This window comes from Homo sapiens, chromosome 11 (genome assembly GCF_000001405.40).
Source record: "Homo sapiens chromosome 11, GRCh38.p14 Primary Assembly".
Lineage (NCBI taxonomy): Eukaryota > Metazoa > Chordata > Mammalia > Primates > Hominidae > Homo > Homo sapiens.
The window spans coordinates 86,005,963-86,029,605 of record NC_000011.10 but is presented as its reverse complement, the minus strand read 5'-3'; the positions used below and the strand labels follow the sequence as shown (position 1 = coordinate 86,029,605).

Genomic DNA, 23,643 nt, shown 5'->3' with positions numbered 1-23,643 from the left:
TGATAGTACTAGAGGCAAAATGTTAATAAAGACAAAACAGAAAGTTGACAGTCATTTTGTAGATTGACTGACAAGGGGAGAAAGATAGCATTTTAGTGTGTTTTTTTGATAGTGTGTTTTTTGATAAACTCATGTTTAGCTTCCTGTAGGCAGTTAAAGCAAATTCCATGCTCTGTTCATTTTTTATGCTGGTTTGTACAACCTTCAGGTTTTTATGCTAGTTTGTACAACCTTCAGATGTTCCCATTGGCAGGTGCCATTAATTTGTTAGAGGCTGTACATAGGATTTCACTATACTGTGGTGATTGGAATACCATGGAGCGGTGATTCTCAAAACTGAGTGGGGAAGGGGGATGATTTTTTTTTTCCCTTAGGGGACATTTGTCACAACTGAAGGGGATGCTGCTGGTATATAGTAGGTAAAGGCCAGGGCTGCTTCAAAACATCTTACAATAATGCACAGAACAGGCTGGGTGAGGTAGCTCACACCTGTAATCCCAGCAATTTGGGAGGCCAAGGTGGGTGGATCACCTGAGGTCGCAAGTTCGAGACCAGTGTGACCAACATGGTGAAACCCCGTCTCTAGTAAAAAATACAAAAATTAGCCAAGCGTGGTGGTGCACATATGTAATCCCAGCTACTCAGGAGGCTGAGGCAGGAGAATCGCTTAAACCTGGGAAGCGGAGGTTGCAGTGAGCGAGATGACACCTTTGCATGCCAGCCTGGGCAACAAAGCAAGAGACTCCATCTCAAAAAAAAAAAAAAAAGAAAATTAAAAACAGTAATGCACAGAGCAGTCTCCAACAACAAAGAATTACCTGATTCAGTGTCAGAGTACTCAGGTTGAGAAACCTGGCCACAGAGAAAAATCTCAAAAGGTAAGGCTGAGTGAGCATTGTGTTATAGACCCTTAACATGAGGCAGGTAGGTACTTTTATACTGTTGTTCACTTACCAACTGGGTGACTTGGGTAAGTCACTTCTGGAGCTTCCTCAATAATATGATAGTACCTTCATGGTAAATAGAATTGACCAAGGCTCTTACTATAGTATGACAAGTTATAGATGATTAATACATGAAAATGTAGAGTTAAAAATTTGTAGATGAAATTAGAAAAGAGAAGTACCAAGCATGGATTTATTATAAAGTATTTAATACCATTTTGGGTAAAATAATCTGAAATATGTTCTTTAAATATTTTGTTATGAAAAGTTTCTAATATACACAATAGTAGAGTGAATGGCATAACAAATGCTTATGTACCTAATCACCCACCTTCCACATTGCCATTCTTTAAATGAAGGTTTAGGATAATCCATTTCAGGTTACCGCTTATGACCCAAAATGGGAACCTGTGAAGCCTTATTACTTGCCAGAGTGTTGGCATGGTGCTCAATTTAATACCATTTTGAATATCATTAGGATGCTGTTGAAAACAAAATCAAAACTTGATTAAAGCCATATATGTCTTTGCAGCTAAATATAATGAACGTAGAAAGGACTAATAAAATGAAAAGGAAAATTTAGATTTATTATCTCTAAAATCATGAATGAAATGGCCTGGTAGACGAAATTATTTACATTAATTTAGAATGCAGAGGTAAAGAAGAGTCTTATCAAAATCTATTAAAATCATAGTCTAATATTGTCTTACGATATTTTTATAACTTTTTGAAACACTATTTTAGGATAATTGTGAAATATGAGTCTTCAGTTTACACATTGATTTTCAAAATCCTGGTTTGTTAGTTTGGGGTGATCTCAGTTGTACAAGTCTAATTTGGAGGCCGGGCGCAGTTTCTCATACCTATAATCCTGAGAGTTTGGGGGGCCAAGGCGGGAGGATTGCTTGAGCCCAAGAGTTCCAGACCAGCCTAGGCAATGTAGTAAGACGTTGTCTCTACAAAAAATTTTTTTAAAAATGTGAGCTGGACATGCCTGTAGTCCCAGCTACTTGGGGGCGAGGGTGAGGGGTGGATGGTGGGTGGTGCTTCATACTGAGATGGGAGGATTGCTTGAGAGCAGGAGGGTGGAAAGCTGTGATCACACCACTGTACTCCAGCCTGGATGACAGAGCGAGACCCTGTCTCAAAAAAAAAAAAAAATACTGATTTCAGAGGTGATGGTGTACATCCTAGTTGATTATTAGCCTCTACATGCATTAAAAAAAAAATGAAGAAGAAAGTAAAGTAATCCTAAGAAGCGAAGTTGAAAGGCATTTCTTTAGCTATTTAGAGGCTGTATGTGAAGGAGACTAAGGTTATGTACTATGGTAAGCACTTCAGAGACCATTTTGGCAATATTGAGAAGATGAGCTTTTACATATGTGCTGGCCTAATAATTCATCCCTAGGTATATATCCTGAAAAACTCATATACTCATATACTTATGCATGGAGACCATGAAGAAATATGTCAATACAACTTTGTTAATAATAGCGAAAATTACAAAGTATATCCATAATAAATAAATGGATTTATGATGATGTATTCATTAGAATATTAGAACATCATTTAAGATGAAATGTTAAGTGGGACAATTCTTAGGGAAAAGTTGAGTTAAAACACATTGCAAAGAGTAAGTACACTATGATACTTGTGTAAATTTCAAATAGAAAACACTTGGATAGTTTATAGATACTTGTATGTCTAGTAAAATGGTGAAAACCTGTGTGAAAGTAACGTATACCTGTTTCAGAAAAGTACTCACCTCTGAAGAGGGAGGGAAGGGAGATTGAAGGTGTGGTTCTTCAATGGAGGCTATAATGTTTTGATTCTATATAAGATGTGAAGTGAACATGTGAATTTGTTTAATCTGGACAGTGGGTAAGAGGATCTCTATTGCTTTCTTGTATGTTTAGAAGTATTTTTTTTTTAAAGCCAAAACTTTGGTTTACCAGACGGCTGTTTAAAATACAGATGCCACCTAAAAATGATTAGCTATAGTTTTAGTATGCTGTAATAAAACCAAAACTACTGCTTCCACTGCCTATTTGCTTTTATTGTTTTGACTTAATACTATATCTGTGGGCATTAGGCTTTAATAAATTCTCGCATGCTAGTGAAAAATATGTATTATGTTTTTAGGTTTGGTAACTAGTTAATGGAAAGAGTGAGGATGAGAAATTTAAACTAGATAAGCTTAATAGAATGTGTTAACCATAACTTTTCCTCCTAATTTTCGAATTAGAGTTGGTGAGATGGCAGTACCTTAATATGATGTAATTTTTTTTTTCCAGCGTTTTATTCAGTATTTGGCTTCAAGAAACACGTTGTTTAACTTAAGCAATTTTTTGGATAAAAGTGGATTGCAAGGTAAAGATAACTTTTACATTATAGAAAATCAAAAGAATGACACCCACATGATGATTACTCCAGAGTAGAACTCTGTCTTTTAGAACATGTGCTACTTTAAACCTTATATTTTAGTGAAGGTTGTAGGAAAGAAAAAACTGTCTTTTAATTTGAAGATTAATAATAATCTTCCTACCAGATACTCAGAGCTCTCTGAGACGGAGTACAGAGTAGTTATTTGAGAGCATGAATTCTGGAGCTGGACTGTCTAGGTTTGAATCTCATCTTTGCTGCCTACCAGCTATATGAACTTGGGCAGGTTACTTCACCTCTGCATCAGTAGAATCGAGTAATAGTGATAGTACCTACCCAGTAAGATTGTCATGAGACTTAACCTAGTTAATTACTACAAAGTGCTTAGAACAGTGCCTGGCACACAAGACATGCTATGTAAGGCTGGGTACGGTGGCTCATGCCTGTTATTGCAGCACTTTGGGAGGCTGAGGCGGGTGGGTCACTTGAGGTCAAGTGTTCAAGACCAGCCTGGCCAACATGGTGAAACCCCGTCTCTACTAAAAATACAAAAATTAGCCGGGATTGGTGGTGCACACCTGTAATCCCAGCTACTCAGGAGGCTGAGGCAGGAGAATCGCTTGAACCCAGGAGGCGAAGGTTGCAGTGAGCCAAGATCATGCCACTGCACTCCAGCCTGGGTGACAAAGCTAGACTCTGTCTCAAAAAAACAAACAAAAAAAGAAATGCTATGTAATATTTGCTTTCATTGTTATTATATTATGTTTCATTCCAAGAAATGTAGTTGAAATATTACATGTTTTAGTAGCTAAAGTGGATATAATTTGTTGAGATGAATTGTTCCTTCATATTCGTAGCTATTTTCTTATTTATGTTTTTTTGAGACGAAGTCTCGTTCTGTCACCAGGCTGGAGTGCAGTGGCATGATCTTGGCTCACTGCAACCTCCGCCTCCCGGGTTCAAGCGATTCTCCTGCCTCAGCCTCCCGAGTAGCTGGGACTACCCGCGCATGTCACCACGCCCAGCTACTTTGTGTATCTTTAGTAGAGATGGGGTTTCACCATGTTGGCCAGGATGGTCTGCATCTCTTGACCTCATGATCTGCTTGCCTCGGCCTCCCAAAGTGCTGGGATTACAGGCGTGAGCCACCACACCCGGCCTGCTATTTTTTATTTAGTAACTTGAAATGGACATAATGTGGTTATAGCTGTCCATGCACATTGTCTTAATGGGATCTGTTTTACTTAGTTCTGTAACTAGGCTGTTAGCATTATAGAATGTTAGCTTTAGGGAGAACCTCATAAAGGATATGCCAAATGAATTGGGAATATTCAACAGTGAGGCTCAATCAGGGAAATGTCTTTAGAGAAGGTGAGATTTGTGCTGGGCTTCAAGAGAAGGATGAGAAGATGAGTTGGCTTAAGCACAGGTACAATACATGAATGTGAAAGTAAGGACAGATACACAGATGTATATGGATGTGAAAGTCATTCACATGGATATGAGTATTTAAGATTTACAGAGCAAATGAATGTGAATAGAATATATATGAATGGTGTATTTGAGAACATGTAGTGGCAGATAGCCCTCAAGAAGCTGTTCAGAGCCAAAATCAAGCACAAAAATTTTTTATAGAGTTGGAATTTTATAATGCAGTAGAGAGAGGAGGGGAGAGGGAATTATGTGTTACCAGGAAAGCATCATAGCTTAGTCAAGTTAGATCAGAGTAAACCAAATCTTGAAGATGCTGAGACTGTTTCAGTTGTTCTGGTTATCTAGTGTAGAGTTAATCAGGGCCTGAACTGTGGTTCTTCTGGAGGTGTAAAAAAAAAAAAAGATCAGGGGAATTTTTTTTTTTTTTTAATGTGACTGGCTGTATTTGAGTTTGGAGGTGTTCAGTCCAATACTTGTTTCCCTTTGGTAAGTGCAGGTATTGCTTAAAAAGAATTTAATACCCTATCTTCCAGACATTCTAGAAGACCAGTAATCTATATGTAGGACCCATTGTTACAAAATGCATTATATTTTAACAAGAGTTACGGCGCTCTAACTTAAGGAAAAAAAATTAAAACAGTAGACCCCCTCTCTTGAAAAAAAAATTTTTTTTTTCTTTGAGACAGGATCTGGTTCTGTTGCTGAGGCTGGAGTAAGAGAGACCGGGGCTTGCTCTGTCACCTAGGCTGGGTGCAGTGGTATGATCGTAGCTCACTGCAGCCTCTAACTCCTGGCTCAAGCGGTCCTCCCTTCAGCCTCCTGAGCAGCTGGGATTACAGATGTGCACCACCACGCCTGGCTAATATTTTTATTCTTAAATATTTTGTAGAGATGGGCTCTTGCTCTGTTGACCAGGTTGGTCTTGAACTCTTGGTCTAAAGCGATCCTCCTAAGCCTCCCAAAGTGCTGGGATTACAGGCATGAGCCACCACACCTGGCCTCTTTTTGAAATCTTAAACAGAAGCCAGATATATATTATAGATAAAAATGGAGTGTCTCTATTTTCAGGGGCATGGAAGAAACTGCCTACTCATCCTTTAATTTTCACTTCCTCCCTCATTCAGTTCATTTTAACTTTAAAAGTCTATGGAAAACAAGATGCAGAGCAGTGCTCTAGGCAGAGTTTATGCATATATCCAAGTAGGTTTTTTGTGTCTTATTAGCGACTGATTTATCATTTTCTTAAGATGGAAATTAAGCAATTCTAGTGGTAAGGTGTTAATAATTTCACTCTTTTTATGTAGACGAGAGGTTGAGCCTTGAAGGATGAGAGGTGTTTACCGTCTTAGGATGGGGTATAGTAGATAGAACCATATGAACCGAAGAGCTGAGGAATGTGAGCATGTAACACCTGACGTGTACAGTAGTAGGTATGAAGTCATATGGGAGCAGTATTTTTTTTTCTATTTTGTTCACTGATTTTTCTCCACTGGTACTTAATAGGCACTCAATAAATATTTTGCTAAATAAATGAACTGGTGATGTTGAAATCCAGTTAGTTTACATTTTGGTTGGTTTTGGTATTGTCTTTTAAAGGTAGCAAAGACCAAGTAATTAAATTTGTTAGATGAATATGAGATAAAATGGGTTCACTTTTCAATGAGGAGCAAAAATTTATAGACTTCCTTGAGCCAGGTAATAACTAAAACACAAAGTTTTTGGTGTTTTTAGAAAATAATATTGATTAGATTTTATGTTGCTAAAGTTTTCAAGTCAAGGTCATGATGAAACAAAATCTTAGAATGATTTATGTATTCATTTAGAAAGTTTCATTGAAAACATTCATATAATTGTTTTTGTTACACCCTGAACTTGCATGTTGCCATTTCTTATATTACACAGTAATTTTTTATACTTTTTATAAGGTTGGCACATACAAGTTATGGTTCTAAATACAGCTAAAGATTTTAGGAGTATAAAAATTATATAAAGTTGCTTGATTTGAGGAATGGGATTGTGGTTCCATAGGATGTTAAATTTGAGTTGTGAGATTATCAAGTTGTGTAAAAGAACGTTTTTCTAATTCCTGATGAATAAAGAATAGGAATATTGAGAGAATAGTGAAGTTCTAAGGGAAGAGGTTTTTTTTTTAAAACTACATAGGACTTATCTGATTTAAATATGAAGCCTTAAGAGAATTTAATGGTAATGTTATTAATTAGTTACTTAATTTACATACTAAATTGAATTGGGATATCAAGACATTTTATAGCCATTGGATGCAATGAGTTGTTTTTCTAGGCATATTGGGATTTTTAGTCATTTATAAAAACTTGTCTCTCTCTTTGTTTTGTTTTTGTTTTTGTTTTTTTACAGGATATGACATGTCTACATTTATTAGGCGGTATAGTAGATATTTAAATGAGAAAGCAGTTTCATACAGACAAGTTGCATTTGATTTCACAAAAGTGAAGAGAGGGTGAGTTAAGCTTTTTTTGACATCTAATTGATTTGAATTTTTAAAAATGTAAAACATAGGAGTTACTAGATTATGAATTATGAAATTTTAGCCAGTTTTAAAAGATGAGCCTCATTTTTCTTTGATGAGGTATATCAAGTACTTTTTGTGGTAGGATTTGTTTTTAAGTTCTTTTTATAGCACCTTTATTGAGATATCATTCACATAACAAAATTTATCATTTTAAAGTGTGTAATTCATTGGTTTTTAGTGTATTTACAAAGTTGTCCAACATCACCACTAATTTCAGAACATTTTTATCACCTCCACAAAGAAACTCTATACCTATTAGCATTCATTTCCTATTCCCTCTTCCCCTAGATCCTGGCAACCATGAATCTACTTTCTGTGTCTCTGGGCTTGTCTATTCTGAACATTTCATATAAATGAAATTATACAATATGTGACCTTTGTGTAGCATGATATGTCCAAGTTATAGCATCCATGTTATTTCATATATCAGTATTTTATTCCTTTTTCTAGCCAAATCATATTTTACTTTATGGACATATACTGCATTTTGTTTATCTGTTCATAAGGTGATGGCCACTTGAATAGTTTCTACTTTTGCCTATTAGGAATAATGGTGCTGTGAACATTAGATTTTATGTGGATTATCTTTTTAATTCTCTTCGGTGTATACCTAGAAGTGGAATTGCTGTGTCATATGGTAACTCTTATGTTTGTCATTTTGAGGAACTGCCAAATCATTTTTCAAAGCAGTTGAATCACTTTACGTTCCCACCAGCAATGTATGGCACTTTCAGTTTCTCCCTATTCTTGCCATACTTGTTATTTTCTGGGTTTTTTTTTGCCTTTTTTTTTTTTTCTTAAATGGTAGCCATCCTAGTGGGTGTGAACTGGTGTCTTGTGATTTTTAGTTTGCATTTCCCTGATGGCTAATGATATTGAGCATTTTTTTTGAGCTGTTGACCATTTGCATATCGTCTTTTGAAAAAATGCCTCTTCAAACCCTTTGCCCTGTTTTTATTTTTTATTTTCACTTTTTGAGACAGTGGCACCATCCCAGCTCACTGCAGTGTCGACCTCCTGTGCTCAAGCAATTTTTCCCCCTCAGCCTGCTGAGTAGCTGGGAACACAGGCATGCAACACTATGCTCAGTTAATTTTTAAAAAAATTTTCATACAAATGAGTTCTCACTATGTTGCCAAGGCTGGTCTTGAACTCCTGGGCTCAAGCAGTCTTCCCATTTTGGCCTCCCACAGTGTTGAGATTATAGGCTTGAGCTACTGACCTGGCCTTTTGCTCATTTTTAAATTGGGTTACTTGCCCTTTTTATTGTTAAGTTGCAAGAATTTTAAAAAATATGTTCTGGGCACCAGTTTCTTATCGCATAAATAATTTGCAAATATTTTTCTCCCATGGCTTGTCTTTTCAGTTTCTTGTTGGTGTTTTTTGAAGAACAAACATTTTTAATTAATTAAGTGTATCTTTTTTTTCCTTTGGTTGCTTGTACTTTTGTAATCATGTCTAAGAAATCATTGTTTAATCCAGGGTCACAAAGATTTACTCCTACTTTTTATTCTAAGAATCTTGTATTTTTTGCCCATATAGTTAGGTTCTTATCTATTTGGAATTAACTTTTGTATATGGTGTGAGAGGTGAGTCCAAATTTATTCTTTTGTATGTGGATATTGAGTTATCCCAGCAACATTTTGTGAAATTACTCTTCTTTCCCCATTGGATAGTCTTAGTACCTTGTTGAAGATGAGTTGACCATAAATGTAAAGGTTTATTTCTGGACTTGCAGTTCTGTTCTGTTGATCTGTATGTATATCTTCATGCCAGTACCACATTGTCTTGATTACTGTTGCTTTGCAGTGTGTTTTAAAATTAGAACGTGTGAGTCTTCCAATTCTATTCTTTTTTTTTTTTTTTTTTTCCCAAGATTGTTTTAGCTGTTCTGGGCCCCTTGCATTCCCATGTGAATTTCAGGATCAGCTTTTTGATTTCTGCAGAAAAGATAGCTGGGATTTTGTGGGGGATTGCATTGAATCTATAGATCAGTTTGGGGAGTATTACCTTCTTAATGATTAAATTTCTAGTCTATGAACAAGAGATGTGTTTCTGTTTATTTGGATCTTTTTTCATTTCTTTCAGTGCTGTTTTGTATTTAAGCTTTCTTTTAATCTTAAATGCAGAAGATGCATTTAATTTTTGCTGCACCCTAAATAACAATCATCTTAGTACATGATCCAGTCACATGAATGATATAGTCAGTGCTTCTATAAGTGATAACACCTGATATGCAGATTTTTTTCCTAGGATATAGGATGAGGCCTCAGGAGAAAGCCACTGAAGACATTCTTAGCAGCAGCGATGACCCTTGTAGCTATGAAGACCTGTCTTGAAGGGAATCTGGCATGTACAGAAATAGTCTGGTGAATGCCTTCCTGAGCCACTCTGCTGCTCAGTGATCCCAAAGGTCTAAGCAATTGATGTGTTCCTTTAGATTGTTCTATTGAAATTTTAAATTAATGGACTGAAGTGAAAAATTTAATTAAAATATAGAGGTAACCTCTTAGTTATGCAAGAAAATTTAAAGCTGAATTTAAATGTTCTATGCTGCCATTCCAAATCCATCAGGAGGTGATTATTTTGGAATATACCTAAAGTAAATTCTACAGATTTTGTTTCATATATTTAAGCACTTTGTAGAAGATTATGGTGGAGAACTTTTTTAGAAGTCTGATTTTTAACCTCTGTATCCTGTCCAATAATATTTCACTGTAAAGTGTCTTCAGTGAAGTTGATCTTCAGTGTATTTACAGATTTCAGAATAATAGATTTTTAAAATGGTAACTTTTGTTCTAATTTGAAGGGCCAGTCTTGAGAATAGTTGGTGAATTTTTTTATTTAATAGAGCAGTCTTTTTTAATTGGAGGAAAATAGCTCCTGATTAAGTACAATAAAATTAGTATTGACTTAGTTGAATCAAGGAGGAGCCATAATTGAGTGGGGACCAAGAAGAAGTGCAAAAGTGGCATTATACACACACATATACACGTCAGACTGTATAAATACAAAAGAAAAAAATCAAGAATATCAGGTATAAATTGAGGACATGACAGCAATTGAAATTATTATATCATGGCAAAAACCTCAGTAGGCTACACCTTTTGGAGAGGACTCTCATTGTAAGTAGTAAAGTTTGATTTATTAAGATTTTTTTTTATGTTTACAAAAGTAATAAAATTTAAGAAAAATACCATCCTAATTCATAGAAAATGTTAACATTTTAGTGTGTCTAACCTTTTCTGTGCGAGTAAATAGAAATATGTATATAAAGGCACATAGAAAATTACATAAAAATTGGATCAGATTCTTTGAAGGCTGCTTTTCTTCCCCTCCTGTGTATTTTGGACATTTTCAATGTCTGTACACATAGATCCATCTCATTTTTTTCTTTTTTTTTTTTAAGTCAGAGTCTGGCTCTATCACCCAGGCTGGGGTGCAGTGGCGTGCTCTTGGCTCACTGCAACCTCCACCTCCCGGGTTCAAGCGATTCTTCTGTCTCAGCCTCCCAAGTAGTTGGGACTACAGGTGCCCGCCACAATGCCCAGCTAATTTTTGTATTTTTAGTAGAGATGGGGTTTTGCCATGTTGGCCAGGCTGATCTTGAGCTCCTGACCTCAAGTGAGCTACCTGTCTCGGCCTCCCAAAGTGCTGAGATTACAGGCATGAGCCACCTCATCTGGCCTCAATCCATCTCATTCTTATGAATGGCTGTAGAATTATGTTGCAGGTGTACATCTGATTTATTCCCTTTTTTTAATCTTATAAAAGCAGTGGATTGACCATCCTTTTATGTATGGTTGCATTGAGTTTTTCTATAGAATAAATTATTAAAATTGATGAGTCATTGAGATATATATACATTTAACATTTTAATACAAAACACCAAATTATCCTTTATAAAAGTTATACTAAATTATTGGCTTAAATAGTTATTTGTATTCTTCCATCATCATGAAAAATGCGTTCATATGTGTTCATTTTATATTAGTTGATTGAATAAATGGTGATATTGAGCACACTCCCCCTTCCTTTTGAATGCCATACTTGTTTTATTAATTGTCTTTTGATGTCCATTGACAGCTTCTCTATTGGGTTTTTCACTCTTTTCCATTGTGTTTAATAGTGGTAAGAACTCACAAGCTTTTTTAGTCAGATGAATCTAGGTTTGAATTCTAGCTTCACACCAATTAGATGAGAGACTTCAGTGAGATACTTTAGCTGGTTTACTGACTTTTAAAAAATAATATTACTTTAAAATAATTTCACTTCCAGAAATGTAGCAAGAATATTAGAGAACTTCTGTATACTTTACTCAGAACCACCAGTTTTTAGCATTTTGCCACATCTGCATTTCTCTTTCTGTGTATATTCACACAGGCGCACACACACATTTTTTTCTGAACCATTTGAGAGTGGGTTACATACCTGATGCCTTTTATAGTTTATATCTTTTAATACTTTGGTGAATATTTTCTAAAAACAAGGATATTTTATTACGTATCTATCAGCTTGCTAAACTTCTTTCACATGGTGGCACACAAACTGTTAACTATTTATACAAGAGACTACTTGAGGCTAAAGGGTTAAAAAGGATCAACATCTTGGCACACTTATAACCCTTTCTACCATACTAGTATGCTGTGGCAAAACTGGGAAGGCCTTACTTAAGCTCTGAGTTATTTCATCTGTAAAATTACGATGTTAATTAGTACTTTCCTGTCAGGATTGTTGTGAGAATTAAATGGGATATTGTATGTAGTGCTTAACACATAACAAACACTCAACAAATGAACTTTTTGTATATTAGGAAAATAAATTGTTATAGGTTATGAGTATTTTTCCTTGTTTTTTAACATTGTTAAAAGCTTTACAATCTTAGGTGATCAAAATCATTATCTTCATTTTTATGTTTTTTATCTTTCAAGCAAGCTCAGTGAGCTAAAATGATTATGTTTTCATCAGTTATATTTATGGATTAGGTGTTTTATATTTTAATCTTGGATTCATTTGGAATCTACCATGGTAGGAAAAACATGAGGTAGAAGCTAACTTTTTTTTTTTTTTTTGAGACAGAGTCTCACTCTGTCACCCAGGCTGGAGTGCAGTGGCGTGATCTCTGCTCCCTGCAACCTCCGCCTTCCAGATTCAAGCGATTCTCCCACCTCAGCCTCCCGAGTATCTGGGACTATAGGCGCATGCCACTGTGCCCGGCTACTTTTTGTATTTTTTAGTAGAGATGGGGTTTCACCATATTGGCCAGGCTGGTCTCGAAATCCTGACCTCGTGATCCACTCGCCCCTCAGCCTCCCAAAGTGCTGGGATTACAAGCGTGAGCCAACGCGCCCAGCCTTAGCCAACACTTTTTAAATAGAAATATAGTTTGGGTGGCAAGAAGACCAGACAATTGCTTTTTGTTATTTTCTGTTCCAGAATGAAATATTTTGGGAGTTAAGAGCTGAGAGCTTATGTGTTTCATGTAAGGAGACAAGGAAAGAGAAGAGGATTCGAAGATACTTAGGAGAGGATTTTATTAGAGACGGCTAAGAGGATTGCTGGCAATGTTGAGTATTCATTTGAGGTTGATGATCATGAGTTTATAGTTTTGCCAGTTTGCCCAGTTGTGCTGTTTTCTTTACCAGCACTCAGCTATGTGTGTACAGGCATGGATTAGTTAGGTGTTTGCTCAGCCAGGATAGTGAATTTGCCAGATGACTGAAATGCAGGGAAGAAAAGAGGTGCAAGAAAGTTAAAGGTATTTGTAAAGGAGTGATTATATTAATGATCTGTGGAATTCTAAGCTAGATGAAGAAAGTAAAAATGAGAAAGGATCAATGTGGGTAGTGGTGGAGTTGAAACATTGAAGTTTCTGATGAGGTCAAATAGTTTTTACCACAGGGATATGTGACCAAAGCAGCTGAAAGGTTAAAAGGTAATTGTCACAGAATAAGGTGTCTGAATTTTACCTTTTTTTGTTGTTGTTCTTCAGGGGTGGGGCTAGGATGATGTGGTTTCTGGGGGCAGTAAGGTTAGAATCAGGGATTTTGACATCAAGGTGTTGGATTGGTTGTCCATGTAGATGTTGAAGCTAATGACAAGAAAGACTGAGCCAATGTTCAAATCTTCTGTGATGGAGAAGTAACCAGAGGTAAAAAAATGACATCAGTAAGAAGAGTTGCAAAAGAAGGAATGGTGTCCTCAGCCCAAGCTCCAGCAGCTGCTTCCAGCCAATGCTGTTTAGCACTTGAGCGGAAACAGGCATCCATAAGTTAACACATTAGGGAGAATTAGGCCGAAGCTGATCAATAGGTGACTACTTAAGGCAGTCTAGTATTTGGTTATTAAACTTTGTTGTGTCCTACAAAGCACAGTTGTTGCTTTTTATAGCTTAATTGTTTTTTGGCGTCTGAGGTCATAGTTCATGGTTTATCGTAGGGTAGAACAGCCATTTATAAGTATAGGTCATTTGTAAATTAGGGGAACCTGACATATTTTTTGGAAATGCCTTGTTACTCAACCAAACAGTAAATCAGTAGAATGAGGATTTGAAAATGATAGGGCAATCTCTGAATAATACTTAGTGTGATATATAATAAGCTCTTAATATTAGTTGTGTACGTTAGCCCCAGTACCTTTCATGTACTGGTTTTTAAATCTGTTTTGGTGCTGCCAATAATTTCTCTATCTTTAGAAATATCTGTTTGGAAATATTTAACAGACTATTTTATTAAAGGCTGTCCATTGAAAGTATCTCTTGTGTAATAGCCAGATTAGAATGATTTGGTAAAATTGTTCTTTATTTTGTAATAAAGTAGTTTTAGTTATAATTTCTGAATTAAAAGCCATTGCTGTTGGGTCATGAATAAAATACTTTAAATAAAACAGAGCTCTAAGACTTTGTTAACTCTTGGCCTACAGAGTGTTTAACTGTTTTTTGACTTGAGGCAAATGATTATTTTATTTGTAATTTTAAAAAATGGTAAAACTGCTCTTTACACACCAATGATTGTGAGGATCAGATCATTTCATCTTGTGAAAATACAAGCTATAGACCTTGCTGTATAATGTATACTTTTGCTTTTATGGCTCATGCTTTATGTTCTTTTTTAGTTCTAAATGAGTACCTTGATATTTGACATATTGTGTTGCCTGTTTTTGTTTTTTCTGTATGATCTCTGCTTCAGTTTTCATGTTCCATAATGACTTAAAAATATGTGACATTTCATAGCAACTTGGTTCTCTGTTTTAGTAGAAAACCAGGGGGGGAGTTTGAAATGTAGATTTAATTGCAGATTCATTTGTTTATTTCTCTGGTTTTTTCATAACAGGGCTGATGGAGTTATGAGAACAATGAACACAGAAAAACTCCTAAAAACTGTACCAATTATTCAGAATCAGATGGATGCACTTCTTGATTTTAATGTGAGTTATGCTTTTGTAATTTAAGATTTTAAAAAATTAGGTCATTATAATTCATGAGAATTTTTAACCTCAAGTTTTCACAGACTCTAGTTTTTCACATCCTGATATCCTATATGGCTAAGGATTTTTTATAAAATAGTCTCAAGTCAAATTACTTTCTGATTTTTATGACTGTTTTGGATTTATTTCTTTAGTGCTTCTCTAGCTCTAGAATTTTAAGATATACAAGCTAAAGTGGTGAAAGGATTGATCTGAAAATATATTTTCTTTTGATAATGGCTTTTAGATCTTGAAAATGTACAGGGATATTTTTTAAATAAATAGCCAACTTAATATTTTACTTTTGTCTATTTAATGGGACTCAAAGCATGGCAATTATTCAGAAGAAGAAGTTTAAATAGCAGTTATAATAGCTTATTATGTAGCTATTGCCCAAGGGCATTGTGTTCGCTGGAATTTTTGTTTTAATGACCATGACTTGAACCAAGCTGCCAGCTTTGTCATTCATTTATAATGTGTTAGAAGTTAACGTTTTCAACTCTGTTCTGTTTTTTTGTCATCTATCTTAACAATGTTTTGTTTATTATTTATTTGTCATTTTGTTTTAGAGATTGTGAGTGCAAGTTAGTGAATGGAACTGTGACAGTTTCATGCTGAAATAGATTTTTCCTTTAAATTGTTTAATTGCTAGTTTTTAAGCTTCTTCAGGGCAGGAACTAGGTCACTTTTGTTCTCTGTTGTACCCCCATTGCCTATTAATGTGGCACATAGTAAGTGTTCAGTAAACATTCAATAAATCTTACAGGTATTTCATAGACTAAAACAGAGATTATCCAACTACAGCTTACTGCCTGTTTTTGTATGTTTTTTAAGTGGTTGAAAATAATTAAATGGTATTTTGTAACAGGTGGAAGTTACATGAAATTCCAACTTCAGTGTCCTCAATAGTATTATTGGAACACAGCCAAGCTCACTGATACATATTATCTATGGCTGTTTTATGTTACAACAGCAGAGTTCAAAAGTTATGACAGAGACTGTGTGGCCCACAGTCTAAAATATTTACCATCTGACCCTTTACAAAAAAAAGTTTGCTGACCCCTGCTCTAGAAGGCATGGGGTACTGATGCAGTTATTCAACATTATTTTGGTTTGTATAGAATCTCAGGGTCCAACCATGCATATTTTTCTTAATATATTGTATTTGTTTAAAATTTCTTATTCTTTTCAATGTCTGTATTGTACTTTGTTATATAATAACAATTTATCTAATCCTCCTGTTGATAGATGTTTATTCTGTTTTTTTATCCTAAACAGTGCTACACTCAATTCTCTCTCCTCTCTCTGTCTCTTGTCTGTCTCTCCCTCTGTGTGTGTGTGTGTTTCTATTTGTAAACCTATTTCAATAGGTTTAACACCCAGAAAAAGAATGTGGTGGTTCAAATAATATAAACATTTAAATTTTTAATAAATATTGCTTATATTCCAAAAGGGTGAGCCACTAACTTCTCAACAGGTGTCTGTTTTTGCTTTTTCATCTTTTTTTTGTTTTTTTGAGACAGCATTTTTCTCTGTCACCCTGGCTGGAGTTCTGTGGCATGATCATAGCTCATTGCAGCCTCCAACTCCTGGGCTCAAGCAATCCTCCCACCTCAGCCTCCTGAGTAGCTGGGACTACAGGGGTACACCACCATGCTCAGCTGCCTTTTCTTGGTTTTAGTTTTTTGTAGAGACAAGGTCTTGCTGTGTTGCCCAGGCTGGTCTCATTTGAAACTGCCAGGCTCAAGCAATCCTCCTGCCTCGGCCTCACAAAGTGCTGGGACCACAGGCATGAGCTACCGTGTTCTTTTCTTTTTTCATTCTTATGGGCACTGAGTAATATAGTCTGATGTTCAGGAAAGGATATTTTAGTAATTTGATTTGATTATTGTATTTTAATTTACCTGATAAGTGAAGTTGTATTTCTTTTCACGTTATTATCCATATGTATTTTTTATTTTGTAAATTGTTTTCATTTACTTTATTTATTATTAGGATTCTCCCTATATAATGGACATCAGCTCTACTAGATAGTCTGCAAATAACTTTTTTACCAGTTTTTTGTTTGCCATTCAATTTTGTGCTTAGTTTTTCTATATATAACGAGTTAATTTTCATGTGCTAAAAAAGAACTTAGAATTAATTTGGTTTATCTTTTTGATTTATTCCTTGAGATAAAACTAAAAATATTTCCAGTATTCTTTTAGTCAAATAAATACAATTATCTGGTTACAGCAAATTTAATAATAATAAATAATGTTCATTTATATGGTAGCTACTGCACCGTGATCTTTATGTATGTATTAGAGAAAATAAATGTATTTTTCACTAACATGCCTAATGCATGAATTTACTGTATCTTAATTTGAAGGAAATCTTTTTGTCAATGTCATTTAAAACCTAAGATTAGCTAATTTTATTTTCCAATTTTTCCCTAGGTTAATAGCAATGAACTTACAAATGGGGTAATAAATGCTGCCTTCATGCTCCTGTTCAAAGATGCCATTAGACTGTTTGCAGCATACAATGAAGGAATTATTAATTTGTTGGGTAAATACTGCTGTAGCCTAATAACATTTCTTATCTTGTGTCATATGGATAAACAATATTGACTGAGTTGTTACTTAAAGCTGGCTAAAAATTTATTATGATATATTCATTCATTGTAACAGTTAATTTGGAGAAAAGAGTTTTATACCTAATTACTTCTGCAAGTGATTACATATTTTTATACCCAGGATGTTCAGCAAGATGAACTTTATTTTTTAGATGTATCTATGTTTTTTCCACCCATTTTATTAATTTTTAGAAATATAAAAGTGCCTTTAAAATTTAGCTGGGTTAAGATAGTAAGTTTTAGGCTGAGGCAGGAGAATTGCTTGAACCCAGGAGGCGGAGGTTGCAGTGAGCCTAGATCGTGCCATTGTACTCCAGCCTGGGCAACAAGAGCGAAACTCAGTTTCAAAAAAAAAAAAAAAACAAAAAGGATAGTAAGTTTTATGTTACAGGTATTTTACCACAATAAAAAAAGATGGGAAAAAAACAAATATTTTGTCCCAGAAGAATATTGTTTTCTCATAATCAACTCCATAATGAACTTTTAAAAAATTTAAATCTGTTTTTTATAGTCTGAAGTAACGTGGACTTACTCAGGGATGCTTTAATCTATAGGGATAGGGAAATTTGGCTTATTTTTTCACAAGTGAAAAATAAAGGTTTTTCTATAAAGCTTTGGAAGGCATAGTCTTCAATACTATAATTAGTATAAATTAACCTTTTCTATGTATACATTAAACTTAAATGAACTTTCTGAGTGACATTTGGGCATGGTAAAGTTGTTATCTTAGATAATATACTATTAGTAAGATTGGAAATAGATGTTAGTGCTGTTTTAAATGGGGTCAAGTGTGGTACGTGTTTACACACAAATATGTACTTAGGTAATTGTGAGGAAAAGTACTATGGCACAAACTAGGAATATGAGTAGGGTCAAGTAATGTTTCTTTTTTTAGTATAATAGCACCTCTATTCTAATTTGCTTTAAATACCTAAGCTAACTTAACACTGATATTTTTCTAGTAGGGTATGTATGCTCCTTTAGAGACCTATTTGGAGCTATTACCTACTTTTTTTTTCCTTTTTTGGGTGTTATATTTTGATGTGAACAAAAGAATTTTTACATTTATTTTGTCAGAAAAATATTTTGATATGAAAAAGAACCAATGCAAAGAAGGTCTTGACATCTATAAGAAGTTCCTAACTAGGATGACAAGAATCTCAGAGTTCCTCAAAGTTGCAGAGGTAAACTGTCTTTAAGTGACTGTCTCCTAACTTGCCTTTTTGTCTGTAAGTATGGATTTTGAAGTCATCACTCACTATCCAAATAAAATAAATGTCTTCAATTTAGTATTCAATCATTATTATGCTGTATTGAATTCTGTGGCAAGATATGAATATGATAAAGTAGTGAATAAAATACATGCTGTAAATTTAATTCAATAGCGAGTATTGAAAAGTTACCTGTTTTTACATTGTTTACTTCTCTATAAAATTAAGTAGGTGACATACAGTAGTGCCAGAGATTTTTATGGTTGGAATGAACCATATATTTGAGAATGTTTATTGTTAAATGTGGTAGAGAATATCCAGTATCAGTGCAGGTTTCTTTCCAGTGAGACAGCTGGAGCCATAGTTCAAAATGTTTTCGTTGGCTGGGCACCGTGGCTCAGACCTGTAATCCCAGCATTTTGGGAAGCTGAGGTGGGTGGATCACCTGAGGTCAGGAGTTCAAGACTGGCCAACATGGCAAAATCCCGTCTATACTAAAGATACAAAAATTAGCCAGTCATGGAGGCGGGCACTTGTAATCCCAGCTACTTAGGAGGCTGAGGCAGGAGAATCACTTGAGCCCAGGAGGCGGAGGTTGCAGTGAGCTGAGATCGCACCACTGCACTCCAGGCTGGGCGACAGAGCAAGACTCTATCTCAAAAAAAAAAAAAAAGCTTTTGTTCCCCGACAGAAATGGATTTTGTGTATTTATTATCATTGATTGTGAAAACTATGAATGTAGGTAATAGGATATCTAATTTTGCAGCTCTGCTTAAAAATAATTTTCTGAAATTGTCACGGAAGGCAGGTGTGGTAATACTTGCAGGCATTATCTTGCTACCACAGAGGCGTTCTTAAGGGGTTTTTTTGTTTGTTCTCCCATTCTCCAGCCTCTACCCATCTCCACCAAAGATTTCTTCCTAGGATAATTTGCTCAATTATGTCAAAGCAGTTACTTTGGAATTAGCAACATAGTGATTCTAGGCTTTGTTACTGTGGTGATATATTATTCTATATTAGATGCAATAGGACAGAACAGGATGATCAACAATAGCTTTGTTATTAGTCTGCTGTTTTATGAAGCCTACTGAAATTAATTTTGAATTTAAAAATGTTTCAAGGAGAAAGATCCTTTCCGTTTTTTAAGGGTCAGTCACGTACTAAAACAGAAGAAGGTGGTGTTTATGCTGTGATTCTAGTAAATTCTTCAAGTAAGTTTTAATTTGTTGACCTTCCCTCTTGGCCTTTTATGTTCTTTGCATTTGGTAGTTGTAGTTACAAAGTTAAGTTTTTTTTGTTTGTTTGTTTTTGAGATGAAGTCTTGCTCTTGTCCCCTAGGCTGGAGTGCAATGGCGCAATCTTGGCTCACTGCAACCTCCACCTCCTGGGTTCAAGCGATTCTGCTGTCTCAGCCTCCCGAGTAGCTGGGATTGCAGGTGCCTGCCACCACACCCGGCTAATTTTTGTATTTTTAGTAGAGACGGGGTTTCACCGTGTTGGCCAGGCTGGTCTTGAACTCCTGACCTCAGGTGATCTGCCCGCCTGGGCCTCCCAAAGTGCTGGGATTACAGGCGTGAGCCATGGCATCCCGCCCAAACTTAAGTTGTAAGCCCCCTTCTGTACTCCAGATCTGCTGTTAACTTATTCTTAGGTGCAATAGACTGTCTGCTATATATGACTTTTTTTTTTTTTTTTTTTTTTTTTTTTTTTGAGACAGAGACTTGCTGTGTCACCCAGGCTGGAGTGCCATGGCATGGTCTCGTCTCGCTGCAACCTCTGCCTCCCAGGTTCAAGCGATTCTCCTGCCTCAGCTTCCTGGGTAGCTGGGATTACAGGTGCCCGCCACCACGCCCAGCTAATTTTAGAGATGAGGTTTCACCATGTTGGCCGGGCTAATCTGGAACTCCTGACCTCAAGTAATCAACCCACCCTGGCCTCCCAAAGTGCTCTGATTATAGGCATAAGCCACCACACCCAGCCTGCTCCATATGATTTAAGAAAAATATGAAGAGTCCCTTACCTTACGCTTTTTTTCTTTTTTTTTTTTTTTGGCTTTTTTTTTTTTCCTTTTTCTGGAGAACGGGGTCTCACTATATTGCCCAGGCAGGTCTCAAACTCCTGGGCTCAAGCTATCCTCCCGCCTCTTAGCCTCCCTGAGAGCTGGGATTACAGGCGTGAGCCACCGCGCCCGGCCAGAGTCCCTTACCTTAAAATATTCTGTTTTGAGACTGTGTTTGGGCTTGCAGTTTAATTAGAACGCCTTAGTTCCTGGAAGAAGGCAAGAGTAACCTCTTGAAACATGTTTGAGGAGGACAAATATATCAGGCAGTGATTAGTAACATCTGAGTAATAATGAATTTATCAGATTTTTTTTTTTTCTCCTGAGATGGAGTCTCACTCTGTTTCCCAGGCTGGAGTGCGGTGGAGCAATCTCTGCTCACTGCACCCTCTACCTCCCGGGTTCAAACGATTCTCCTGCTTCAGCCTGCTGAGTAGCTGGGATTACAGGTGCCTGCCACCATGCCCGGCTAATTTTTGTATTTTTAGTAGAGCTGGGGTTTCACTGTGTTAGCCAGGATGGTCTAGATCTCCTGACCTCGTGATCCGCCCACCTCAGCCTCCCAAAGTGCTGGGATTACAGACATGAGCCACCATATCTGGCCTTTATCAGATTTTCTGCTGACATCATTCTGAGACCAGCCCCTGAGAGGTCACAAAAGGAAGGGAGACTGATTAGAAAATGAAACACAGCCACGGGACAGAAAATAGTTTTCTAATTGGGGTGCTAGAATACACAGGAACCGTTTCTATCTTTTTTTGCTGGAAATTGCCTAGGGCCTGAGCATCATGAAGGTATATTGGAATTGGTTTGAGAAGACAGTTATATCCTGATTAGATATCACTTGACATTTATGTAAACCTGGCCTACCTGACAGAGCATGAGTTTTTAAAGTGTTATCTGTGGTGATTTCCAGGGAAAGCATGTTTTATGGAGAAAGACAAAGTCGATGTCTTCAGGTTTGTTTCTTAAATTTTTTTTTTTTTTTGCATCAAAGAGCTTGTTCATGGTCAGGCTTTCTCATTCTTACCATAGTGTTTTTATCATATTACACATAGAAGAGAGGGGAGTTTTCAGATTGTGACAAGGTAGCTTACATACAGGTGTTCAGAAGACAGGGATGGTAACTTAGATTTGTTGACTTTCCAACTCTAGTTTCCCTACTGTTAAGAACTTTTAGGGCCACCAAATAATATCTAAGCCATTGGAAATGTTGAGTATTTTTGGAGATTAAATATTTTCCTGATTCTTAAGAAGTCTGTTTAAAATATTACTGGTACTAGCCGTGATGTCATTTTTCCAAATTTTATTTATAAAATATTTTTATTATAATTTATTAAATACAATGCTTTTCTTACAGCAAGTTGGAATTGACAGAGGTGATATACCAGACCTTTCACAGGTAAGTTTATTGTTAAAATACCAATCCACTATCTGTTGTGTACAAGTTGTGAAGAGTATTAAGATAAGTAACATATAGCCCCCATTGTCAAAGGGATCAATGCAGTTTTTGACCAGTTTTAACATTTTGATGTATTCCTGAAGATTGTTCTAACACTATGACCACGTAAAATGATCTGCTTACCACTTATATTTGTTGCCTACCCACTGTCATACCATTTATTTAATCTCTTCAATCACTCTTTCTTTCCCATCATCATTGTTTAAAAAAGGAAAAAAAAACTTTTTGGAACCTGAATTTAGAAAATGATATTTAGAAAAACAATTTTCACTATAATGCTGGTAGAGAATTATCCAGTATTTATTTTTCCTGTTTTAAACTTCCACTTTGACTGTTTGACTCAGGTGGGAGTATTAATTTAGGGATAAACCACAAAACATAAGATTAAGAGAGTAGGGTTTGGGATACGTCGAAATTTCAGTCCCGGCTGTGCCATTAGCTGGCCCTGTGACTTTGGGGAAGTTACTTTCTATTCTTCAGTTTCATCATCTGTAAAATGAAGATACAACAGTACCTACCTCAGACAGTAAGTAGTTCACAGGATTAAATAAGTTAATGCCAAAAAAAAAAATTAGAGCATTAAACACACTCAACTAATGTTTGCTATTTTAATATTGTCTTTATCATCATCATCATCAAAAAATTTTCTAGGAAAAAACTTCATACCTGCTGGTTGTTCTGGCTGATTCTCTGTTTTCTTTACGGAGTATTAAGAATGAAAGTACCTGGCATAAGCTATCCTTGTAACATTTCCATCAACTCTCTCATTTGTTGACATCTGTTTTACCTTGTTTTGAATTATTCCAGGACATTTTTTTGTTGTTGTTTCTTTTTGACATAGAGTTTTGCTATTGTCGCCTAGGCTAGAGTGCAGTGGCATGATCTCAGCTCACTGCAACCTCCGCTTCCTGGGTTCAAGCGATTCTCCCACCTCAGCCTCCCAAGTAGCTGGGATTACAGGTGTAAGCCACCACGCCCAGCTAATTTTCGTATTTTTAGTAGAGACGGGGTTTTCCATATTAGCCAGGCTGGTCTCAAACTCCTGACCTCAGGTGATCTGCCCGCCTAGGCTTCCGAAAGTGTTGGGATTACAGGCGTGAACCACCACACCCAGCTTCCAGTACATCTTTTAAACGCCTTGTTAACAGTTATTATTGAGTTTCTCTGTACTCACTTGTTCTGATTCTTCCCTCTAATGTCAAGGCTAAGAGTATGCAATAAATCTAGTCATGGGTTATATGTAAGTAAAGAATCCTGTATATGTCCACTTGAAATAAATTGGCTTTATTAAGAGCAAGCACATGATTCTGGGTTGAACATGAGACAAGTCATTGCTTGAATAACGTATATTATAAAATGATTTGGCAACTTTAGATTCACCTGTTACCCACCCCATTTGTTATGCTTCCCTTATGTTTTATTTAAAAATCATTGTCCTCAGGCTAGATGTAGAAGTTACAGGCCGTCATCATGTATCTGTGTATGTTAATATTCACCCTATTGTAATTAGAGTAGGGTT

General features: G+C 36.0%; 1 protein-coding gene across 31 annotated transcripts in view; it reads left to right on the top strand.

Moving 5' to 3' along the window:
- PICALM (phosphatidylinositol binding clathrin assembly protein) overlaps positions 1 to 23,643 on the top strand; it is a 112,686-nt gene that overhangs the window by 40,255 nt on the left and 48,788 nt on the right. For all 31 annotated transcript variants that reach the window (XM_047427666.1, NM_001206947.2, XM_047427660.1 and 28 more), the window contains exons 3-8: positions 3,239 to 3,314; positions 7,137 to 7,239; positions 14,643 to 14,736; positions 17,214 to 17,325; positions 18,470 to 18,576; positions 22,023 to 22,064. In XM_047427666.1, coding sequence (XP_047283622.1) covers positions 3,239 to 3,314; positions 7,137 to 7,239; positions 14,643 to 14,736; positions 17,214 to 17,325; positions 18,470 to 18,576; positions 22,023 to 22,064 — 534 coding nt within the window. The remainder of the gene's footprint in view (positions 1 to 3,238; positions 3,315 to 7,136; positions 7,240 to 14,642; positions 14,737 to 17,213; positions 17,326 to 18,469; positions 18,577 to 22,022; positions 22,065 to 23,643) is intronic.